Source organism: Homo sapiens, chromosome 1, assembly GCF_000001405.40.
Source record: "Homo sapiens chromosome 1, GRCh38.p14 Primary Assembly".
In the NCBI taxonomy this organism is placed as follows: Eukaryota; Metazoa; Chordata; class Mammalia; order Primates; family Hominidae; genus Homo; species Homo sapiens.
Genome location: NC_000001.11, coordinates 65,786,166 through 65,809,392, shown reverse-complemented (window position 1 = coordinate 65,809,392; position 23,227 = coordinate 65,786,166). Strand labels below are relative to the sequence as shown.

At 38.9% G+C, this 23,227-nt stretch overlaps 1 protein-coding gene across 3 annotated transcripts in view; it reads right to left on the bottom strand.

Annotated features, from left to right (window-relative positions):
- PDE4B (phosphodiesterase 4B) overlaps positions 1–16,883 on the bottom strand; it is a 582,070-nt gene extending 565,187 nt beyond the window's left edge. For 2 of the 3 annotated variants that reach the window (NM_001037341.2, NM_001297440.2), the window contains exon 1: positions 16,763–16,883. The gene's annotated coding sequence lies outside the window, so the exon portion shown is untranslated. Of the gene's footprint in view, positions 1–16,144; positions 16,499–16,762 lie in introns of those variants that run through there. The other variant, NM_002600.4, reaches the window with a different exon arrangement.

The following is a 23,227-nucleotide window of genomic DNA, read 5'->3' as shown; positions in this document are numbered from 1 at the left end:
TTTGATGCATCTTCTGAATTCGTTTTGCAATTTTTTTTTTTTTTTTTTTTTTTTTTTTTTGTGAGATGGAGTCTCACTCTGTCACCCAGGCTAGATTGCAGTGGTGCAATCTCAGTTCACTGCAACCTCTGCCTCCCAGGTTCAAACAATTCTCCTGCTTAAGCCTCCCAAGTAGCTGGGATTACAGGCCCGTGCCACCATGCCCAGCTAATTTTTGTATTTTTAGTAGAGACGGGGTTTCATCATGTTGACCAGGCTGGTTTCGAACTCCTGACCTCAAGTGATCCACCCGCCTCAGCATCCCAAAGTGCTGGGATTACAGGCATGAGCTACCACGCCCAGCCCATTTTGCATTTCTAAAGACTAAATATCTACCCACACACCACATAACATGTTCAAAAAACAATTCCACTTTCTGTTATTCTGTTAAAACCTAAACATATTGTAAAAGCCTGATCTGTGTGTCCAAAAAATGAGCTACTCTTAAGTTGTCTTTTTCTGAGAAATAGAAAATAACAACAATCATGTACTAGAAGCATTCAACTGATTATATGTCCCTCTAAACACAAATCAGCCATAACTGAAAAGGTTCTACCCTTTACCAAGTACAGGATACACATAGAAACCTTTTGTACTACCCACATTCATTTCCAATGCTTTCCAATGCTATTAAATTTCCTACTACATGACACTTGTCAGGTCCCACCACATCAGAATTCCAAAAATTTCAGAGGGCCCCCACTGCCATTAAGATAAAGATCCCCCTCCTAAAACTCACTTTCATATGCTCAAAGTTCACAGTGTGATCTCAGCCCACCTTTCAAACACGTCCTCCCATTCCTCACCTATGTGGAAAATTGTCTAGACTTACTATTCCCTCACTATGCCTTATACTGTCTGCCTTCAAACATTTATGCTCTTCCAGCTGAGGATAATGGCTCATGCCTGTAATCTCAGCACTTTGGGAAGCTGAGGCAGGAGAATTGCTTGAGACCAGAAGTTCAAGACCAGCCTGGGCAACGTAGCAAGACCCTGTCTCTACAATTTCTTTAAATTAGCCAGGTGTGGTGGTGCATGCCTGTAGTGCTAGCTACTTGGGAGGTTGAGGCAGGAGGGTCACTTGAGCCCAGGAGTTGAAGGTTATAGTGAGCTAGAATTGTACTACTTCACTCCAGCCTGGGCATCAGATCAAGAGTCTGCTTCAAAAAAAAAAAAAAAAAAAAGTGTTTGTCTACCTACTTGATGGACCCAACACTCCCTTTAATCCTCACTGACTCAAAGCCCTACTTACACTTCACCTACTTATTGCCCCTAGGCCATCCTGTCTCTGGGACTAGATGAGGATTATACAGTCTAGAGGTCGATGCTCTGTATTCACGCAGACACTATGGTCAAAGTAACAATAACTGTGGAACCTGAAAGGCATCCAGCTACTTTGGGAAGGTAACAAAAAGGATCTCCATGAAGGCTAAAGGGCTTAAATCACAGAGTTCTCCAAACCTTCCAGGTCTCCAAAGCAGTAACTACTCCTTTCCTGACAGATACCTTCTACTGACACCAACCAAGGGGCCACTCCAGCTGCCCTGCCCACTCCAACCCTACTTGGGCAGCTGCTTTCTCTCTCAGAGGACACCACATCACATTGAAAAGTTCGTTAGGCTCATGAGTAATTAAAGAAAACCAATTGAAAATAGCCAAGAGACCGTTTTTCTCTCCTCACATTGACCAATGACTTGACAAAATCGAGAATTAGAGGGATATGAGGAAATGGGATTAGAGGGATAGGAGGAAACTAGCACTACAATCGACAGTTGGTGAAACCATACATTGGTATACACTTTCTGGAAGAAAAGTTTATGTCAAAAAGCCTTTAAATTGTGTATAGCCCTTAACTCAGCAATTCCAAACATTTATACTGGGATACTTATTAAAGCATTGGTAAATTCCAATAATTAAAATGAAAGTGATTTGAATATTCATCATTAGAGAATGGATTCAATAAAGCATAGTACACTTATTCAATAGAATACAATACAGCCCTTCATAATGATGCGAGAAATCGATTTTTTTACTCAATTTTGAGTGAATACATGCAGTTATAGAACGATGTGTATAATATAATTGTGAATCTGTGAATCTATGCAGAGGGACAGCTGGAGAAATGTTTCCCACTGCTTCTAGACATGATTCTCTGAGGTACCTGCAAAGGGGTGCCTGAATCACAAATGTGGTTCTCTTTATGATTTGATCATCTCCCAGGTCAGGTGAGTTTTCTAGCAGATGTGCTGCTGTTAGAGGTAAAAGGACCCCAGGGATTCTTGCCATTTCTGTTTCACTTTAAGAAAATTCAAGTTTCTCTTTACCTTGCAATTAAGGTACACAGTAGAAGAGTAACTATACACAGAACAATATGTAATATGTGAAAGAAAATTTGTTTTTAAAAGATAAGAAATTTTTAGAGGATTAATCCTGATGGCTCAGCATCTAAATACCATGTATATTTTCCAATTACAGCCCTGAAATCAGGATATGCCCTACAATTGACAGTATTTTACAACTGCCGTCAGAGAGATAGCAGTAATGAGAGTTTGGTCACAAGGAAATCTAAGAAACAATAATGGAGCATCCTTTAACATCTAGAAATCATATACCTGTAATGAAGAGATAGGATCAGTGGGGAATCAAGCATGTTTAACAACATCCCCAAAGCAGGAATCACAAGGCAAGCTCGATCAACATAATTGCTAAGCATCTTTTCAGGACCAGCTCTACTGATGGTACATAAAGTGGAACTGCATGGATAAACACAGATATTAGTGACTCAGGATTCTGAAGAGACGGATTCAAATGTGAATTTAAAACTCTGAAAGTGAATCAGTTTTTAGAATAACTCATCTAAGCTATTTTAGTATGTGTTCTTTTGTTATGCATTCATGGGAGAAATATATCATATATTTTATATTTAAGTGTAAGCATGTTCTTTCAATAAAAATAAAATTAATTGTGTAAGTGATTAGAAAACACTGTTTACAGTTTCATTGCTAGTATTTTTTCTTAGTCATACATAAAATAATTGTGTACCTTACAATCAAAAACAAGCATTATTTTATGTATCACTAAGAAGTAATAGAAATTCTAGAAAACAGAACCAAGAAAACCAAATGAAATAATTTAGCACTAATATAGTGCTAATGTTAGCACTTGTTTCAAAGTCATGTCAGAAGGTGTCAATAGAATGTTTTTTACACAACCAACTCATGATTGACATCTGGCTTTTATAAGACACCATCGATTAAAGGTGCATGTTGATCTGAGATGTTAAATAATGGGGGAAAATTGACTTCAGAATTAATAAAATTGATAATAGAAGAAAAACTTCCAGAACTAAAGAAGAGTACAGTATCCAGAAAGAAAAGACCCACTGAGCTCCCCCACCAAAATTAGAAATGACCTGCACCCAGGTACATAATCTTGAAATTTCAAAATTTTCAAGGAGAATGAGATGATGTTAAAAAGCTTCAAATGAGAAAAAGACTTCACATTTAAAGGATCAAGATTCAAAATAGCATCAAACTTCTTAATGGCTAAAATGACAGCCAACAGACATGGAAATATGCCTTCAAAATTCTGAGTAAAATGGCTTCCTAGAATTCTACATCCACAAGGTGTAAAATAGAAGAAAAACATTTCCAGATGTAAAACATTTCAAAAGTTCTACCTTTAAATACTCTTCCTTAGGAAGATATTGGAAGATATGCTCCACCTATCAATACAAAAGATTAAACCAAGAAACAGGAAGATATAAAAATCAGGAAACAAGGAATCTGCTGTAGGAAAGAGGTTTAAAAAAAAAAGCTGCACAATGATTGTACTGCAGATACTATTAGCTATCCACAAAAATATCTGCTTTCTTTTCTTTAGACACACAGCTTAGATAAAATATCCCAGTCTCTCTTTCAATTAGGTTTGGCCATAAGACTGAGTTCTAAACAATAATATAAATATAAAGGATGTGTGCCTCTTCCAGGACACCATAATATTCACCCACTCTTTCTCCACCATGCTCTGTCAGAATGGAGTTGGTCATGACATCTTTGAAATCCATGTACTGAAAAGAGACATGCCCCTGGCCAGGAGCAGTGGCTCACGCCTGTAATCCCAGCACTTTGGGAGGCCAAGGTGGGTAGATCACCTGAGTTCAGGAGTTCGAGACCAGCCTGGCCAACATGGCAAAACCCCATTTCTACTAAAAATATAAAACTTATCCAGGCTTGGTGGTGCACGCCTGTAATCCCAGCTACTCGGGAGGCTGAGGCTGGAGAATCACTTGAACCCTGGAGGCAGAGGTTGCAGTGAGCCGAGATCGTACCACTGCACCCCAGCCTGGAAGACAGAGTGAGATTCAGTCCTCCCACCCCCCACCCACCCCCCCAAAAAAAAAGATGTGCCCCTTAAATATGTTAACATATTGTGTATCAATTAAAATTAATAATAAAGTCTATTAATTAAGGAATTTTTAAAAATAAGCACCTCTACTCTAAGGTCCCTGGGTGACTACAAGAAGCAGAGCAGCCACGACATGACTCACCTGAAACAGCAGGTCAGAGAGCTCCCACTTCCTCCTCCCAGCCCACCTGGAATAGCTCAGTATCATTACATGACCAAGAAATATATTTCTGTCATGCACAGTGGAAGAAAATTATCCATTTGGAAAATGACAGCTGGACCTCTAGTGGTGTTTGGCAGCCACAATTCCCCTATTCCCCTCTTCATTTCTCCCCTATCTTCTCTTAAGAATTCCCTACTCTCTAATTATTGCTGCTACTGCTACTACCACAGTGCTTTAGGCCAAGGGGAACTACTTCCTGTCCAAAACACTTGCCTGAATTTAACCTCCCTCTTAATTTTCATAAGACAGCCAAGACAATTAAACAAGACTTTCTAATGACTTGGGGTAAAGCAAAAAGAGATAAAATAATGTTGACAATCTGATTTACAAAGTATGACGTGCTCTCCTTAACTAACCACCTTTGTTCCTTCTTAGCTACTGTCTCTTTAGCATACACCACTTGGAACCCCACACATTAGCATTGATCTTCAACAAATCAAGCAAGAGCATAAAGCACAGAGAAAAGCAAAGCTTCCTTCCTTGTACTTATTTCCAGATCACTTTTCACATGACAATTTCATGTAAACACTCATCACCATAAATTTGACATGAAAGAGACCCAGTATTTTTCCCACAGAGGTGTGACTTTCCCCTACGATCTCCATTAGACAAGTCCCCTAAGCATGCCTAAAAAGCCTAAAGAGGAAAATGATGTAGTTTAAAGACTGTTTCTTTACATGAAACAATTGAATAATTTTCCCAGTTACACAATTAAGTTAGTGACAAAACTAAGACACAAGCCTTGCTCCCTGGCTCAAAGTCAAGCATTATCAGCATATCATACAATTCATTTTCCCTAGTGACCAGCACATAGAAAGCATGACATTTGCCATGGTTAGAAATAAGGAACAACTTCCTATTTAAAATTTACTTTTCAAGAAATAAAAGCTGGCGTCCAAAGGGCTGACAAAAACCTTTACTGACAGTATTACAAAAGCCTTTATTGAAGATTTTTTTAGTAAAGCAGAACCTCATTGTTTCCAAGATATGGCATTGGAAGTTCCATTCTAGATTTAAGATTCTATTTCCAGCACTGGAATCGTACATTTTAATCCGAGTTTTCCCATCTCACAAACCATTTAAGAGACCCAAAGGACTTTTTATATCTGGGCAAAATCTATTACTATGTTGCATTATTCAAGAAATTGCCTGGCTTTGAAGCCCTTTCTGTACATTCTCTTCCCCTCACAGTGAGGTTTACCAGTGATATTTCAATGCAAGAACTTAAGAATATGTTGTTTTTATTGTTCTCTTTGAAAAACTTGTATTGAAGACCACACTCAAAATTCCTGGTTATGATACTCACTTTTGGAAATGATCACCCATCATCTTCTTTACACATTAATAATACTATTTATAGAATTTATATAACACCTTTTAGAGCGAATAATGCACTTCACATCCATTATTTCATTTGTCTTTATAACATCCTTTTGATGTGTGGTGAGAACAGTTGCCTCTCCCTATTTTAATGTGAAAAAACTAACTAGAAAAAGAAATCCATTAGCCTTGATGTGGATAAACAGCTTCTAAGTAGAGTGCCTACATCAATTGGAGAATAAACCTTCAATTATGAAGGATATTTTTGTCAATATCTTGAATGAGTATAGCAAAGTAGAAATGCTGAGATTAAGCCAAGTTTATTTTATTCTTTTAAAAAATATATTTGCTCTTGGATAATATTAATATATGTCATTAAAAATTTAGGGAAAACAAAAAAGCATAACATTTTATAAATAAATAGTACACAAATACATTTTATAAATAAATAATACATAATAGTACACAATAGTGTCACTATCTGATTTCTCAGAATTTCACACTTATATATGTCATCATTAATGTAGAAGGAAATTGTGACTTTTTTGCTTATAATTCCCTTAATAGCAATACTATCACTCAGTTTCATATATCAGTCAGCTCTCTTGACACAATGACAACTGATTAAAAAAATTAGATAATGAGGCAAATAAAAATTTATAACCATTTTAAACTATCATATCTTAAGAAATCTCCAGATTACAAATTTATGAGACAACACCGCAAATATTTTAAAAGCTGTAAAATATTTTCATATGCAATGACAATAGTGGTTTCCTACCCCATATCTATTTTCCCTTTTTTCATTATATAACAGAATCCTGACATTTTGGGGGAGGTACCAATTTTTCCAGACAACAATTAAAACACAAACAAACTATTTCTCATAATTCCTTGTACTTAGGTATGGCCATTGACATAGTTCTGGTGCATAAGATATTAGAAGTCTACCAGATGCAACTTCCCAGGAAGCTAATATTTTCCTTATTAAAAAGGACGGACTCAGCTGCTGTGTGCCTTGTGCCTGGCCACCTCTACCTGCCTGTGGTACAGATGTCATGCCTGGAAGCTTTATTAACTGTCTTTTCACCAGGAGAAAACTGGTGACACTTTCAACCAGGAGACACTAATTACAGTGGAGTCAAAAGCAGGAAGGAGCCCAATTCCTTCATAGTTTCCTCGGTTATTAAGAACTATCTTCCTGCTGACACTTTATGTTGTATAAAAAAAATAAACTTCTTGCTGGTTGTAGCATTGTATGTCAAATTATTGGTTACTCCCAAATGAATGCAATCTTAACTGCTATAATATTATCAACATATCCCAATTGAATCCTTCTTTTTCTCTTATCACACGGCTTAAAGCAAAAATTAATTCCCTGCACTAAGTCAGACAAATCCAAATGGAGAGTCTGTAGATTCCTTGTCATATGCACAAAATTATTTTCCATCTTTTATATCCATGTACTGCAAATTCCAACCTTCTTTCACCTTTACACTCCTCCTTTTAAAGTATTTCTCAGTTTGTGACAGTGTGAAGTCAGAAGAAATTTGGTGGAAACAAACTCACATTAAATAGTAAAGAGGGAAACCCACTTTGCTATACATTTTGCCTATAATCCAAATGGGGAAAACAATTATTTTCAAGACTCATTGGTATTCTTCAGCTGTATCCCTATCTTACCGAAGATTATGGCTAAGTAGGAGGTATGACTCACAGAAAGAGTTTTCTTAATATAAATTTTACCCATTGAATAAAATTTGAACTATTCTCTAAGCAATGCAAAACAGAGACTCTTGAAGTCTCATGCTATTCTTCATGCAATGAAAAATAAGATGAAAATTATACAAATTATCCAAAATTTTCACACCCAAACTTCTTCAAAATGAAAGTATTGGTACAAAGTACCCTAAGTTTCATATCCAAGGTCAGTAATTACATAGATCTGTAGACACTAATTTTATCCTTCAAAAATGTAAAATGTGAGGTCTTAAAAATTACTTCATGTATTCAGTTGGAAAAGTATTTTGCTGGAAGTAACAAATAATCTAACAAAATAGTGGAAGAAACAATTAAGGGGTTTATATTTTTCTCATGGAATAGTAAGCCTGGAGGTAGGCAGTGCAGGGCTGATACATCTTGAAAATGCCACCGAGGATCCAAGCTACATCTGTTTTGCCACTTCATCATCCTAAGCCTATGGATTTATTCCTCATCCTTGCAAGATGGCCACTCACAGGATCATCCATGCTCTATGGAGTAAGAAGGGGTAAGAGACAGGGGAAACAGACTTCGTTTTAAGAAGCTTTGTTCGAGAAGGGAAGTGCTCCCCAGAAGCTTTCATCTAATCTTTGTCATAGGGGCCATTGCTACCTTCAAGGGAGGCTGGAAAATTGAATGTTTTGCTTTCCAACTTGTATAGCAGAGGAAGATGAGAGAGAAAGGGGATGAATTGATATTCAGCCAATCTGCAGTATCTACCACACCTTCCGTCCAGTTAAATCTAGTGCCATCCATATTTGCATCATGACCGTTGTCATTATCATTTCAGCAAAATGTTTGTTCCCCAAATTGTGCTATGTGCTATACCCATATAGTTGGATAGTCTTAGCCCAACCGTGACCACTCTTACTATTGCAAATTCTGACCATATCAAGATATTATACTACTTTCAAATTCAAATATTAACTTCCTGGAGATCTTTCTTATGGATAATACTTAATTGCATGGGCCTACCACAAATTGTTTCAAATGTTTTGTCGAACAATATCCACTAATCTGAAGTTTCACCAAATGATAATGCTGGAAAGAACTTTAGAGATTATCATAAGCTGGCCTTATTTTATACCCTTAGGCTTACACACAGGATGTCACTGACCCAATAAATTGCATAGCAGCACTGGAACTCAGGACTTCCAATTCCCAGTCCTCACTTATTCAGTTACTAAAGTGTAACCTTGCAAATAGAAGTCCTACAAAGTGCTTTCTAGGGAAATTAACTAGAAAAAAACTGCCTCATTCTGTTATATCTTTTTGTACAACATTCCCATTTTTCTGCATTGAGTTTTTCACTCTGGTACACATCATGACACTGCAAAACAATTCAGTCTTATTTCTCATCCAGGGAGTTGTACTAGTCACAGAAGTGTATATAGGAGCTTCCTTTAAGTATATATAGGCAGTCTGCTTAAAAGTAATTTCAATACTGGCCTTGCCTCCTGATCTCTGAATTCAGTCATTATCATTCTATGGTTTTAATTTTTTTTAATCCATGATATAAGGAAAACATGGATGTGCTTTTGTTTTTACCCTTAGAAAAATCCCCCCAGTATATACAGCAGATGCTGCTTTAATCTTTCTTTTTTCAGCCCTTAACATTTGATATAGGTGAAATTGGTTTTAAATGACCACTAAAGCAATCTTATCAGAAAAAGAATGATCTCAAAAGGACACTGTTTCTCCATATAGTAAGAAGGTGAGAGCAGAAAGAAACAGATGGAGAATCTTTCTAAGGAATCTTAATATATGTTGTAAGTGTATGTGTGTGTGTTATGGGGGAGGAGAGAGCAAGCACTGTGGGCTGAGTTCCCTGTTTGTATTTCGCACAGTCAGTCTGTTTGAACACCTGCTGGTCCTGCTACATCCTTCTCACCTACTGCCACTCTAGAATCTGCAGGGAGACAAATCCTGCAGTATACCAATGTAGCATGCCCAGGACAACTGTCACCATCCACAGGCCTTTAAGGCTGACCCAGACTATAAAATAAGTCATTATCCCTATCACTTTCCCCAACAAAGACAATCCACAGTTAGTGCATGAGTATAACACAAAACAGTATCTGGAGGTCTTTCCTAGGAATCCATAAATACTTAATATTGAATGCAAATTTTTGACTATATGTTCATTTTTCTGGATAATTAATCCATATGTCCCTCAGATTTTCAAACAAGCCTATTTTTATTTAAAAAAATCATGTCCTCCCAACTTATTGAAGTAGTTTTTCTTGTTAAAAAAGGGGTACTGAGAGATTATACCTCAAAATAAATTTTTAATAAGCCTTCTCAAAGGAAGGCAATTCTGATTTCTTAAAGAAAATATCAAATTAGGAAATTCTAAGAACTCAGAATAAACAAGCCCTGCCATCACTGAACTGAAGGAACTTAGATTTCCTTATGGCTTTTTAACATGTCAGTTTTCTAAAATATAAAACAATAAGGTTGAAATAGGTGATCTCTAAGATCACTTTCAGTTCTGAAAATGCCATAATTCTATGAGTCAGCACTGTGATATACTAGGAGAGCCAAAGACAGAATCCTGGTATCTGCTCCTTAATCCATTCAAAATATCAGCAAGTTGCTTATGGAAATAATGTCATTTACTTTCTCTAAGGTTAAAGTGTCCACAGGATAAAGGATTTTTTAGCCTTTCCCACAAAGATGGCAATAAATAAGAAGTACTAATATTTTTCAAATGCATTAAGATAACTTGAAAAAAAAATGTTCCATAGAGTAAACGTCACATACCAAGATTTTTGTCTTAGACTCTACAGACAGGGTATGATTTGACATTTAATTCTGTAATTACAGTAATATTAATTAACTTAATTTAAATAAGCTATCTTGAACTAAGGTTTAAACTATGTCTCCACACCTAACAGATATATATTACAGGGAAATACAATCAAACTAGTATTTTCAATGATAGTAATGGATAATGTGGTTGAGGATTTAAACTAGAGTGTTTTTAAAAAGCCGGGTGCAGTGGCTTACGCCTGTAATCCCAGCACTTTGGGAAGCCAAGACAGGTGGATCACTTGAGGTCAGGAGTTCAAGACTAGCCTGGCACGGCCGGGCGCGGTGGCTCACGCCTGTAATCCCAGCACTTTGGGAGGCCGAGGCGGGTGGATCACGAGGTCAGGAGATCGAGACCATCCTGGCTAACAAGGTGAAACCCCGTCTCTACTAAAAATACAAAAAATTAGCCGGGCGCGGTGGCGGGCGCCTGTAGTCCCAGCTACTCGGGAGGCTGAGGCAGGAGAATGGCGTGAACCCGGGAAGCGGAGCTTGCAGTGAGCCGAGATTGCGCCACTGCAGTCCGCAGTCCGACCTGGGCGACAGAGCGAGACTCCGTCTCAAAAAAAAAAAAAAAAAAAAAAAAAAAAAAAGACTAGCCTGGCCAACATGGTGAAACCCCATCTCTACTAAAAAAAATACAAAAATTAGCCAGGTATGGTGTTACACACCTGTAATCCCAGCTACTTGGGAGGCTGAGGCAGAAGAATTGCTTGAACCCGAGAGGCAGAGGTTGGAGTGAGCCGAGATGCACCACTGCACTCCAGCCTGGGTGACAGAGCGAAACTCCATCTCAAAAAATAAATAAATAAATAAATAAATTTTTAAACATTTTTAAAATTAAAAAATAAAAATAATGCAAGGGGCATCCCAAGGAGGACTGAGAATGGTGGCAAGAGGGAAATGGACTGCTTAGTGACCTCTAGGCTGGAGGAACAGTAGAGCAATAGAGCAGTGGATGTCTTCCAACTCTCTATTCAACAGCAGATTACCCAGGCCCAGAGTCTCCCGACTCCTAACCTAGTAGTAGGAAATGATCTAGGTAGGCTCATTCCTTGTCTGCATCTAACTGGGGTCCATTTGACAATACTAGGTGGCCTCAGAGCACTGGCACCAGGAATCCTGCCACAAGTTCCAGGTCTAAGAATGCTCCTTATTTCTGCAAGGCTGAAAGTCACTTAGAGACACTTCTCTAACCTAGAGGCACAACAGGGCCTGGCCTGGGGAGGCTTCTTCTTCCCCTTCAGGTGGCACCAGCAGCGTTCAGTGGGAGCCCCGGAAGCACCAGACAAACCAGGCAGACTAACAGCACCTCAAAGCCTCTAGAAATTAAATTGTCATTGAAACCACTGCCCACAAAAGTAGGCCAGGATCTGTGTGTTACCCTAAACAGAGTGATTATCTGTTAAAATACAAGATTTAAATAGAAACCCAGAGCCTTCTAACACAATAGCTAAAATGTCCAAAATATGACCACAACTTGAATGAGAAAAGACAATCAAGTGACACCAACAATTAAGTGAATCAGATGTTGGAATTATCTGACAAAGATTACAAAGCATTTATTCTAAAAATGTTGGCCGGGCGCAGTGGCTCACACCTGTAATCCCAGCACTTTGGGAGGCCGAGGCAGGTGGATCACGAGGTCAGAAGATCGAGACCATCCTGGCTAACATGGTGAAACCCCGTCTCTACTAAAAAATACAAAAAAATTAGCCAGGCGTGGTGGCGGGCACCTGTAATCCCAGCCACTCAGAAGGCTGAGGCCAGAGAATGGCGTGAACCTGGGAGGTGGAGCTTGCAGTGAGTGGAAATAGTGCCACTGCATTCCAGCCTAGGCAACAGAGCGAGACTCCATCTCAAAAAAAAAAAAAAATGTTTCAGGCTAGACACGGTGGCTCAAGCCTGTAATCCCAGCACTTTGGGAGGCTGAGGCAGGCAGATCATGAGGTCAGGAGATCGGGACCATCCTAGCCAAAATGGTGAAACCGCTTCTCCACTAAAAATACAAAAAATTACCTGGGCATGGTGGCACGCACCTATAGTCCCAGGTACTCAGGAAGCTAAGGCAGGAGAATCGCTTGAACTCAGGAGGCAGAGTTTGCAGAGAGCCAAGATCATGCCACTGCACTCCAGCCTGGGTGACAGAGTGAGACTCTGTCTCAAAAAAAAAAAAAAAAAAAAAGTTTCAGCAAGCAAATACAAATTCTCTAGAAACTAATGAAAAAATAGAATGTCTCAGCAAATAAGCATAAGCTGCAAAAAGAACCAAATGGAAATTATTGAGTTGAAAAATATAGTAATCAAAATAAAATACTAGATGGGCTCTGTAGTAGAGAAGACAGAGGACAGAATCAGCGAACTTGAAAACAGACCAATGAATGTTTTCTATTTGAACAAAGAGAAAATACCAGAAAAAAAAATGATGAACCAAGCCTCGGGGTCTTGTAGGACAACAACAAAAGATCCAACTTTCATATCATCAGAGTCACAGAAGCAGATAAGAAAGAGAGTGGGGCTGAAACACTTTTGTGTTTGAAGAAATAATGCCTAAGAATCTCCCAACTTGGTGAAAGACAAACCTACATTTTAAAAACTTCATCAAATCCCAAACAGAGCAAACCAAAAGAAATTCATGCCAAAACACATCATAATCAAACTTCCAAAAAATGAAGATATAGAAAATATTCTTGAAACTCTCCAGAGAGAAATGACGCATTGTGTATAAGGGAACGTCAATTCAAACAACAACAAATTTCTCATTGAAACCAGGGAGGCCTGAAATGAAGTGACATAACATTTTTCAAGTGCTGGAAGAAAAAGAAACTGTCAACTATAAATTCCTTCCACATATGCATCTTCTATATCATATTTGATGGTTGAAACACCACATTTCAAAAGACCAATGGATTAAAACTGGCAAAATGAATGTATGGGGTAAGAACATAGTCACAGGTGGGTTTCCCTGGCAAGCTAATTCTGAAATGAAGTTCAAAGCCCTATTTTCTTGGGAACCGCCTTGTTATCCACACCTGAGGAAGGATGGGGAAGGAAACAGAAAGGACCAAAGAGAGAAGTAGAGCTGCAATGCAAGCCCTCAGGGAGCTCCAGAGCTAGAAAGATCCTTCAGAGTTTTCCAGAGTTGTGCTGCAATGGCCCAACCTTTATACTCCCACATGGATCAGCCATTGGATGTGAGCTGCGCTGGAAAGGGGTGTGACCTTGGACAAGGGAGCTTTCTACAGCTCAGGCAATCCCTGAAGAGTCTGACTATTGAAGGCCATCTGTTGACCACACTCCCAGAAGCTGGGGCAACAAGTCCCTCCTTGAAGAACGATTTGGCACATCACAGTGTCCACTGTATTACCACATGGTGGCTACAATAGCCAGTGCCTGAAGGAACTCATTTGTTTTGTGGTCAGCAACATCCTAAACCTTGTCCAAACTATGCTGTTTGAAGGTTTTTGGAAATAGAAATGGGTGAAATTGTATGACATGATAATAAATTACTAACCACCAAATCTTTCTAACTGAAGACCTCTTCATATACCTCTTGCTCCTTAGCCAAATTAAGTCAAGTAAGATATTAGGAGTAACCTAGAACTCTTTATTTCTTCACAATTTTAAATATTGCATTTGTAAACCAAAATGGAATTATTATTTCTGTGTCCAGTATCTTTATCAAACAAGCCTTTATTTGTACATACACAGTAACTATTACTGTTAAATACTTAAATACCTGTCTCTAGACAGGCAAAGGACTCCAAGATCAGAAAACCATGTATGATTGATTTCTTATTCCTCAAATCAAAAAACAGTCCTATTTTGAAAGCAAACAGTATGTCTAACAGGTTACTCTCTAGAGAAATTTAAGACAATTCATTTTTGCAAAATATGTCAAGCCATAAAGAAACTGAAAAGCAAATCAGCTGATAAAAATACAAGTAGACACACTGCAACATTGTTTAGCTCCCAACTGTAACAAGAAAAATAGAAAGATGATAGATATATAGATAAACAGCCTCAATGCATCGATCATGCCATCTCATAAATTCCAGTCCATTTAACAATCTTACTTATTTTTTGTAAATTAACAAAATTGGCACGTTGTTGTTTAGAAAATGAAAAAGAATAGAAACAGCCAGCAAACATATTACAGTCAAGTCCTACAAGTATTGATTTGAAGAGCTGAAGAGACCAATGCTATATTTATTGACATTAAGGGGATTTCTCTCTTGGGATACCAAGAAATGAGGTATCCTGAGAGAGAAGAAGCTCAACTTCCTTTACCTGCAGTGAAATCATTGGCCTTATCTATCTTCTTGTGAATTCATGTACAGATAAATTCTAGACCCCTACCTACACTTCAGGTTGTAGGTAAAAACACTGAAATCTCCAAATTTGTTTCGTTTTTATGAATATAATTGGTATAATAACAGCTTTTGGCAAAAGGAAACGGAGGGGGAGTATGATCTACTAATAAAAATAGTATCTGGACATTTATTACTTTTTTTATGCTTAATGTGCCTTTCATTCTTATAACTTAGCCAAGAGTTTTCCAGCAGCTGGAAATCTTTGAAATTAAACGATGCATGTGATTCAAAGAACAGTTATATCTCAGATCTAAGATGCAGAATGCATAGAGTTACCATTTCTGTTCAGTGGCATCATATAATTATGATGTAAACCTAATGTAAGTACAATGTAATTTTAGGTGACCGTCTCAAAGTCTTGCTAAAAATTATCCCAGGCACGTGTGTGACACACACAGACACACACACACACATATATAACTACTGTAATTAAGAGCGATTCTTCTGTGCGCTCCTCCTTATACACGCTTTAAAGCTGTTGGCCATAGTGGGTTCCGATTTGTGTTTGAAGTACCGCACAAGGAAGGTGGCCTGTGAAAAACGGGAAGGAAGGAGGCAAAACAGGAAGATGGAAGAAGAGAGTAGGCATGAAGGAAAGTGACAGGAGAAAGGAGGAGAGCCTCTTCCTTCCCCAACACACTCTTGTAGCTAGAAAGGTCCAAGCCCCCTCACCAAACACCAGACAAATCTTCCCAAAAGTTCCTGGCAGAGCCTTGGTGATGCCGAGGCTTGAGTGCGCCCCTCCTTGGTGCCCCAGCCACCAGGGCACGCAGGAGCATCCTGGAGCCTCAGCCCAGCAAACTCTTGGGTAGTTCAGGTTCCCTTCCGCGCCCGCTGCCTGCAGTCAATCACTGGGCACCGCGCGCCCATCCGTCACCTACTCCAGGGCTTCCAAGCCCTGAATCCTTCTGCCTCTCTCCATTCTCCCTTAGCCTCTCTCCATCCTCTCCTCCCCAGTGACTTGTCAAGAGGTCCAAGGGCGGAAGCCGAAGCAGAGAAGATGAGGGCGAAAGGCTAGGGGCCGGTTGGCGGATTTCCTACAAGGGGCGACAATGACGCCGTCAAGACGACCATCCAGGCCCGGCGGCCCCATTCCCTCTTTGCCCCACATCAGCCCCACAGCACCCTACACTCTCCATTGAGGCTTCAGTGTGTGATGAAGTAAGAGAATGAGGAAAAATAAACCCGCAGCCTCCTAGGCAGCCCTTACCTCAGGCTGCCCTCGCAGAAGCCGCCCTCCTCCTGCCCGAGGCGCCTCTGCTGCACCGCCGCGGCCGCAGCGCTCTGGACGCCGGGGCTCCGCCCGGCGCGGGTAGACCATGCGCTGCGAGTGAGCCTTCCGCGCTCCCGGGGGTGGGGGACGAAAGTCTGCCCGGAGGGCGCTCGCGTGCAGCCCGGCCCGCGACGAAGAGCCTGCAGCCGCTGAGGCGAGGCCAGGAGCCCCGGGAAGGGGCGCGCGGGCCGGGGGCGCGCGCGCGGACGGGCCAGCGGGCTAGCCTGGGGAACCCGCGCCAGGGAGACACAGGCGCTGGCGACGCGCCCCTCAGCTCTTCTCTCGTCCTCTGGCCCTTTAAACCCCCTCTCCCTACTGTCCACCCCCGCCCCCCGGAAGAGAGACAGCTCGCCGGTGCCACTTGGTCTGCCGCGCTGCGCTCCTCAGCCGGGTGCGGGGAATAACAATGTGACCGTATCGCACGGACGAGATGCTGTGTAGTAGGTTGTAACTGCTGAGGCCACCACCTGTCAATTCTAGGGTGCAAAGCACGCCGTCCCCAGTCGTCTGGCCTCTCCCTGATTGCCCTCCCAGGTTATTTTTTCCCCCACCTACCTCACAGACCTCCTGCAATATTCCGCGGGCACGGTACCAGGGGAGTTTTGCAAAATAACCCTCTCTCCCAGCCGGGAGCTCACTGCATCTCCCTTACCACCAGAGCTGAAGGATTACGCACAGCCCTGCGTGCCTATCCAAAGCCAGAGACCGAAAATCCTGGTTTGAACCCCACACTCGCCGGCCCCCCAGCCCCCATTCATAATCCCAGCGGCCGTCTGCCACTACACACCCTCCCCCGGCCGCCCGCGCTCTTTCCCATTCGCCGTCCCTGGAACGTGTCAGTCACTCGCTGTGCATCTGCCATGAATACAAGACGAAGAGCTCTGCAGCTACTGGCTGCACAAAGAGGGACTGGGGCGCAGGGGACGCAGACCCCCGGGTTGGGGGAGGCGAGAGAGCCAGCGGGGCACATTACGTGGAAGGAGCCAGTGGGACCGTGGGAGTCCTCTGGTCTCCTGTTGCACAAAGGAGCGCCAGAGTGAATACGCGCAGTGCTCCTGAACCAACAGGTCAGATCACCTCCCAAGAGGTGCTCCACCAAGACACCCCTGAAGGTGAGTCCCACAACTTGGGAATTCGTGTGATGGAGCAACAGGCACTCAGTAACCTGACTGAGCCTGCTTTAAAAATGCAACAGGATGGAGAGAGAGCGAGAGCGAGAGCGAGAGAGAGAGAGAGAGAGAGAGAGAGAGAGTGTGTGTGTGTGTGTGTGTAGAGTGGGAGAGGTATGCTGGAAAGCACAAGTTTCCTTTTCCCCGGTTGTCCAGCCCTTTCAGTCAGAGAAAAAAAGAAGGAAGCTGGCAAGGAAAAGAGGAGGAAGATAGGCATGAAGTAACTTTGCCTATCCAACTACTACAGTAGCTAGAGACCAAAATGACTTTAATAGACAACATTCGCCTGTTTCTCGATTTATTCCAATAAACATCATGCACACCTACTGTGCACTGAGCACTTTGCAGAAGCTAAGGATGCAGAGTCGATTAGGACATAGTCTCTGCACCCAAGGAGCTCACTGCCTAATAGGAGAACCAACTATGAAAGCCCGAGACAAACAACACAAGTATTTCACAACAGAAGCACATGCCAATTGCATAAGTGGAAGCAATTTTTTCTATGTAAGAGAAGGAACAGGTCAGGGAATTTAAATCCCATCTGAACTGTGTATTAAAGGACAAATAGGGACCTCCCAAAGAAGGGCAATAACCTAATAACCTACTATTCACCCATTCACCCAAAATAGCTTTACATGCCTGTACATTGAAAGGCATGTCTAAGAGCTTATCAGTGTAGGAACTTAATGAACTTTCCCCTTCATGGTTTTGGAGGAAACATATTCAAACACTAGCGTTTGGAGTATAAAACACCTATTTCCCCACATCTGAGATGCTACCAAGTGTTCGCTGGTTATTCTGCCTTTTTGGACCTGTTGCTTACACTATACCATCTACCTCATCCATAACCTTGAAATTGAGCCCAAAGCCAAAATTAATAATAGTGAGGCAATAAGCACCTGAAAGGAAGCCAACAAAATCCGCAATGTAGTCATTGTTCTCACAGTTTTCATCTGTAAAATGATGATAATGGAATCTCTTTTTCTGAACTACAGTTAGGATTAGTTAGATGTATTAAATATAAGGCAACCATTGCCTAAAGAGAGTGTAAGGAATCTAAATTGTAGTTCAATCTAGGGGAAAAAAAGAACCAATTTGAGCATCATGCTGCCCCTTTTTGAATATGAGAAATTTGAAAGGTATTAATAATTACTAAGCCTCCCAAGGTTATTACATCATCTTCAGAAAAATGTGTCCAAAGAGTTCTTACTGCAAAAAGAATTATATACGGATTCCAGTAGAAAATGATGTCAGCTTTTTAAGCATCTTTCTCATCTCTTTCTAAAAATTACATAAACTAACAAAGAGAATGGAAAAAAACTGTCAAACACCATTTTCAACAAATTTATATAGATTTTACCTACAAACCCCAAAGCGCTTCTAAAGGTTACCAAAAGCAGCTGAGTTTGGGCAGAAGTCATATGGAAAAGGCCCAGGGAGAGGCAATGGGAACCAGCACTAGAAGTATCAGAAAGTGCCAGCAAAAGTATGTTTTCTGGGAAATGAGAGGTGTGTCGTAAAATGCAAAGCTGTCTCTCAAAAACTGGAGCAGAAGCAGAAGGAAGAAGGCAAAAGAGATACATACATACAGATGACAAAAGGAGAACAGGGAGTTCCCAGAAACATGGTAGGAGCAGATCTCAGGGTCAGCAAAACTTTAGTGCTTGAAGATGGTCAAATCACTATGAAATGTAAAAGTCCTGTTCCTTCTTTTTAAGAACTGGGGAGCAGAGAACTACTGGAAAAGGATCTTCTGGACATAATTCCCTTCAGAGTCTCAGAGGAAGTGAGTATACAAAGATGCCATAACTACTAAAAGCAGTCTGTTTGTGAGGCAACAGTAAAAGTGAATCCATAATCTATTGCTGCATAACAAGCCACCCGAAACAATGGTTTAAAAAGCTACCAGTGATTTGCCTACAATTTAGTGAGATGGAAAATTGGGATGGGCTCAGCTGTGTGGGCTCAATGGCTAATCTCTGCCCCATGCGGTATCAGCAGGTCTTACTCACAAATCTGGGCCTCTGGAAGGGATGGCTTGGACACCTAGGGCCTTTTCCCAGGAAGCTAGTCAGGCTTTTTCACATGGAGGTAGACATGTTCCCAGTAGCAAGAGAAATGGCAGCCTAGTGTTCATGCTGTAGTGTTCACACACTTTCAAGTTTCAAGCTTCTGTATGTGTTGTGTTTGTTAATGTCCCGTTGGCTAAAGCAAGTCATGTAGCTAAGTCCAGAGTCAATGTGGGAGTATTTTATGGGCATGGGTAGAGGGAGGTGTCAATTATTGGGGATCATTAAGTGGGAGCTATTTGTTTTGAGAACAGGAAAGCCACTTTGCAACCTCCACTTCAGGAACTTTCTCTAAGGAATTTGACCAGAAAAATAATTCATTCAATAGTGAGCAGTGATAAAGAAGAAACTGGCATAACACAGATACAGACATACTATTTTTAAAATTCAGAAAATTAGCATCAAAACTTTTTAATAGATGAGAGGAAAAAGTGTTGTCACAGAGACAATTAAAATTGTGACTATAAATTTCGAAATGCAAGAAAAAAACTAATAATACTTTAGCATAGTATTTACTGTTGCCAGGCAATATTCTTACCACTTTGTAGAGATATGAACTCAACTGATTCTCAACACAACTCTGTAAATTAGATATTGTTATTATTATTACCATTATATAGATTTAAAGACCTAAGGGACAAGTTAAGTAACACTCAAGATCACACAGTTAGAGGAAGACCCCGTATTTAAACACAGTTAATCTTGTTCTAGAGTCTTTGCTCTTATTCATAAGCAGCATAGTTTCTCTAAATTAAGCATATTTGTTGATATGTTAAGAAATAAACATCATCTATTAAGGAAAACCAAAAGGCACAAATGAAGAAACTCAAGAGAGAGATGAGGAGGATGAAATTAGTTGATTTTTTTAGCAGAAAGAAGAAGAAAAGCAAACCATGACAGAAATGAAGACAATATTGGAAGAAATACAAAAAAGGACTAAGTATTGCAGATAAGTAAGACATAGCAAATAAAAGTATTTGTGTGAAACTGATAATGATAGATGAAATACAACACACATATAATTGGAGTCTCTAAAGAAGAATGGGTGCAGCACACCAGCATGGCACATGTATACATATGTAACTAACCTGCACATGTTGCACATGTACCCTAAAACTTAAAGTATAATAATAATTTTAAAACAAAAAAAAAATCACCCAGAAAAAAAAAGAAGAAAACCTTATCAGTGGAACAGAGCAAATGTTTAAGCAAAATTTTTAAAAAACTTTCTTGAAACTGATAAAAAAAAGACTTCAATCTACATGTTCAAAATAAATACCATGTAGTAGAAAAAAATGATTCATGATGGTTGAACAAAGAAATATACTAACAAATTATTGAGTTTTATATATATGTAAGGAACCTTTGAAGCAGAAAAGAAAAAAAAATCAATTCTTGTAGAAAGAAAAAGAAATCAACCTACCCTCAGTCTTCTTGAAAGCAACATTCAAAGCCTAATGACAATGGGCTTTTGTTCCAATGAGAATGGAAACAAAACTTATTATATTCTCATGAAAAAAAATAATGATCTAAGGATTTTATATCTGGCTAGTTATTCATCATATATAAATGTCATATTTTTAAACATTAAAACTCAAAGAATATTCCTCCCATAAGGGGATATACTAGAATAAAAAAGGGAAAACTTTCTCAAAATGACTGGTGGTGAACACCAAATATATTTTTACTGTAAAACTAATACTACAAAAAATGTTTGAATGTTATAGGTTTTGAAAATATAGAAATGACACAAATCACAAATGTTAGGAAGGGAAAGAAAAAAGATGGTGGTAATTAGAATAAGTTCATTGACTGACTCACCTGTAACTGTTGAGGTTGAAAATGTCATTTAAAGCTGACATACAAGTAGTAGAGTAAGCACGCATAACATAAAAAGATAAACACTAAGAAATGTAATTTTTAAACAAAATATGACAGCTGATAAAATGCAGTATAGGAAAAAGAAGAGGATACATACCAATTTATCATTGCTCATAACTGTTATATCCAAAACAATAGAGAATATGAGTATATAAAGATGGAATTATAAAGGTAGCAGCTGGAGAGCAAATTTGCACCTTAGTGCACACCTTGTTAAATGTCAGAGGAACCATAAACTCATGCGCATGTGTATAATCACACACGTATCCATGTATATATCAAAGAATTGTGACAAATATTTTTCAATCAATACACATTTTAAGCTATTTTTTAAAAGCATTTTCAAATTGCATTAAAACCAAAACTCCATGCTATATATAAGTACACATTGGAAAAAAAAGGTTCAGATGGTTGAAAATTAAAGGAAGAGCAGAGTTTTACCCAAATAATGCCCCTGCACATTCCCCCCACCCAAATACATGGAAAAGGAATAATAATAATATAGCAGTACTTATGACTTTAATTTCAGACAAGTTGGACTCAGGACAAACAAGTATTAAATAAAACAAAGAAAAGCACTTTATGATAGAAAAAGTAAAAATCACAATGAAGATGTGAAATTTATAAATATCTATGAACCAAATACATAGCAGAAATTTGTATATACAAGTTTTATTACAAGAGATATAAAGACATATGGAAAGTAACAGACCAAAAATAGGACAGTTTTACTCATCTCCCTCAGTCAAACTCTACATATATCAGACTTTGTGCCTCAAAAGTAGAGATTACATATTCTTTTTAAGGGCTAATATTATATTCATAAAAATTGCCATTTATTAAACCATAAAGATAAAATGCAAAAATAGGAAATTATGGACAACACTATATGATCACAATTCCATAAAAACAGAAATTAATAGAAAAATCAGAAAAATAAAAATCTTTCCACGTGAAAATTCTAAACAAAAAACTCTCTTAAATAACTTTATGAACAAAAATTGTAGGATTTCTTGAAAATAATGAGGTATGAAAACACTACTGAATAGAATTCCGTGATACAGCTTAAGCTTAATTCATGAATTATGCACCAACTCAAAAAGTTAGAAAAACAACTATTAAATAGAAGAAAACTAAAAAATATTAAACAATTTAGAAGAATTAATAAATGAGTTAAGAAAGGAAGGTGATTAGAGCTAATGTGTAATTTGAAAAGCCAGCCTTTTTAATATTTAAAATAATTGTTAAATTAATAAAAAAAATAAATACAAAGTAAGAAATTATAAGGGGTTAAACATAGAAATAAAGAATGTTAATATAATTCTAAAGACTACTTTAATCTGTTATAATGTTCTTCAACCATTTTTTCATTTTTGCTTCACAAGAAAATTTTAATTTAATTTTTCCCTAATGAGAATTAGAATATCTCCGAATTGTAATATCGGAGATATATTGCCCCAATTGACAGTACATGCTCTACTATATGCAAATGCATTTGAAAACCTGGGTTAAATGGGTATTTTTAGTGGGAAATATAATTAACCTAAACTGACCCTAGAGGACAGAGAAAATCCAAAGGGAAAAAGTTGAGAAAATTGTCAATTCCTTGCCCTCCTCCAATGAGTAACCAAGCCAATATGAATATTACAAGGAAATTTTACCAAACCGTTGAAGAATGGATAATTCTCATGATATCTAATCTATTAAAAAGTGTAAAAAAGAAGGAAAATTTTCAATTAAATTTTATAAAGTATTTAGCACTAATACTAAAATTTAATAAGGGCCACACATAAAGGAAACCTATAGACCAGTCTTACTTTTAAATCAAGAATCCAAGACTATAAGCATAATTCAATATTAACAATTTTTTTCAGGTAAATAATCATAGGGAAAGATCTAAA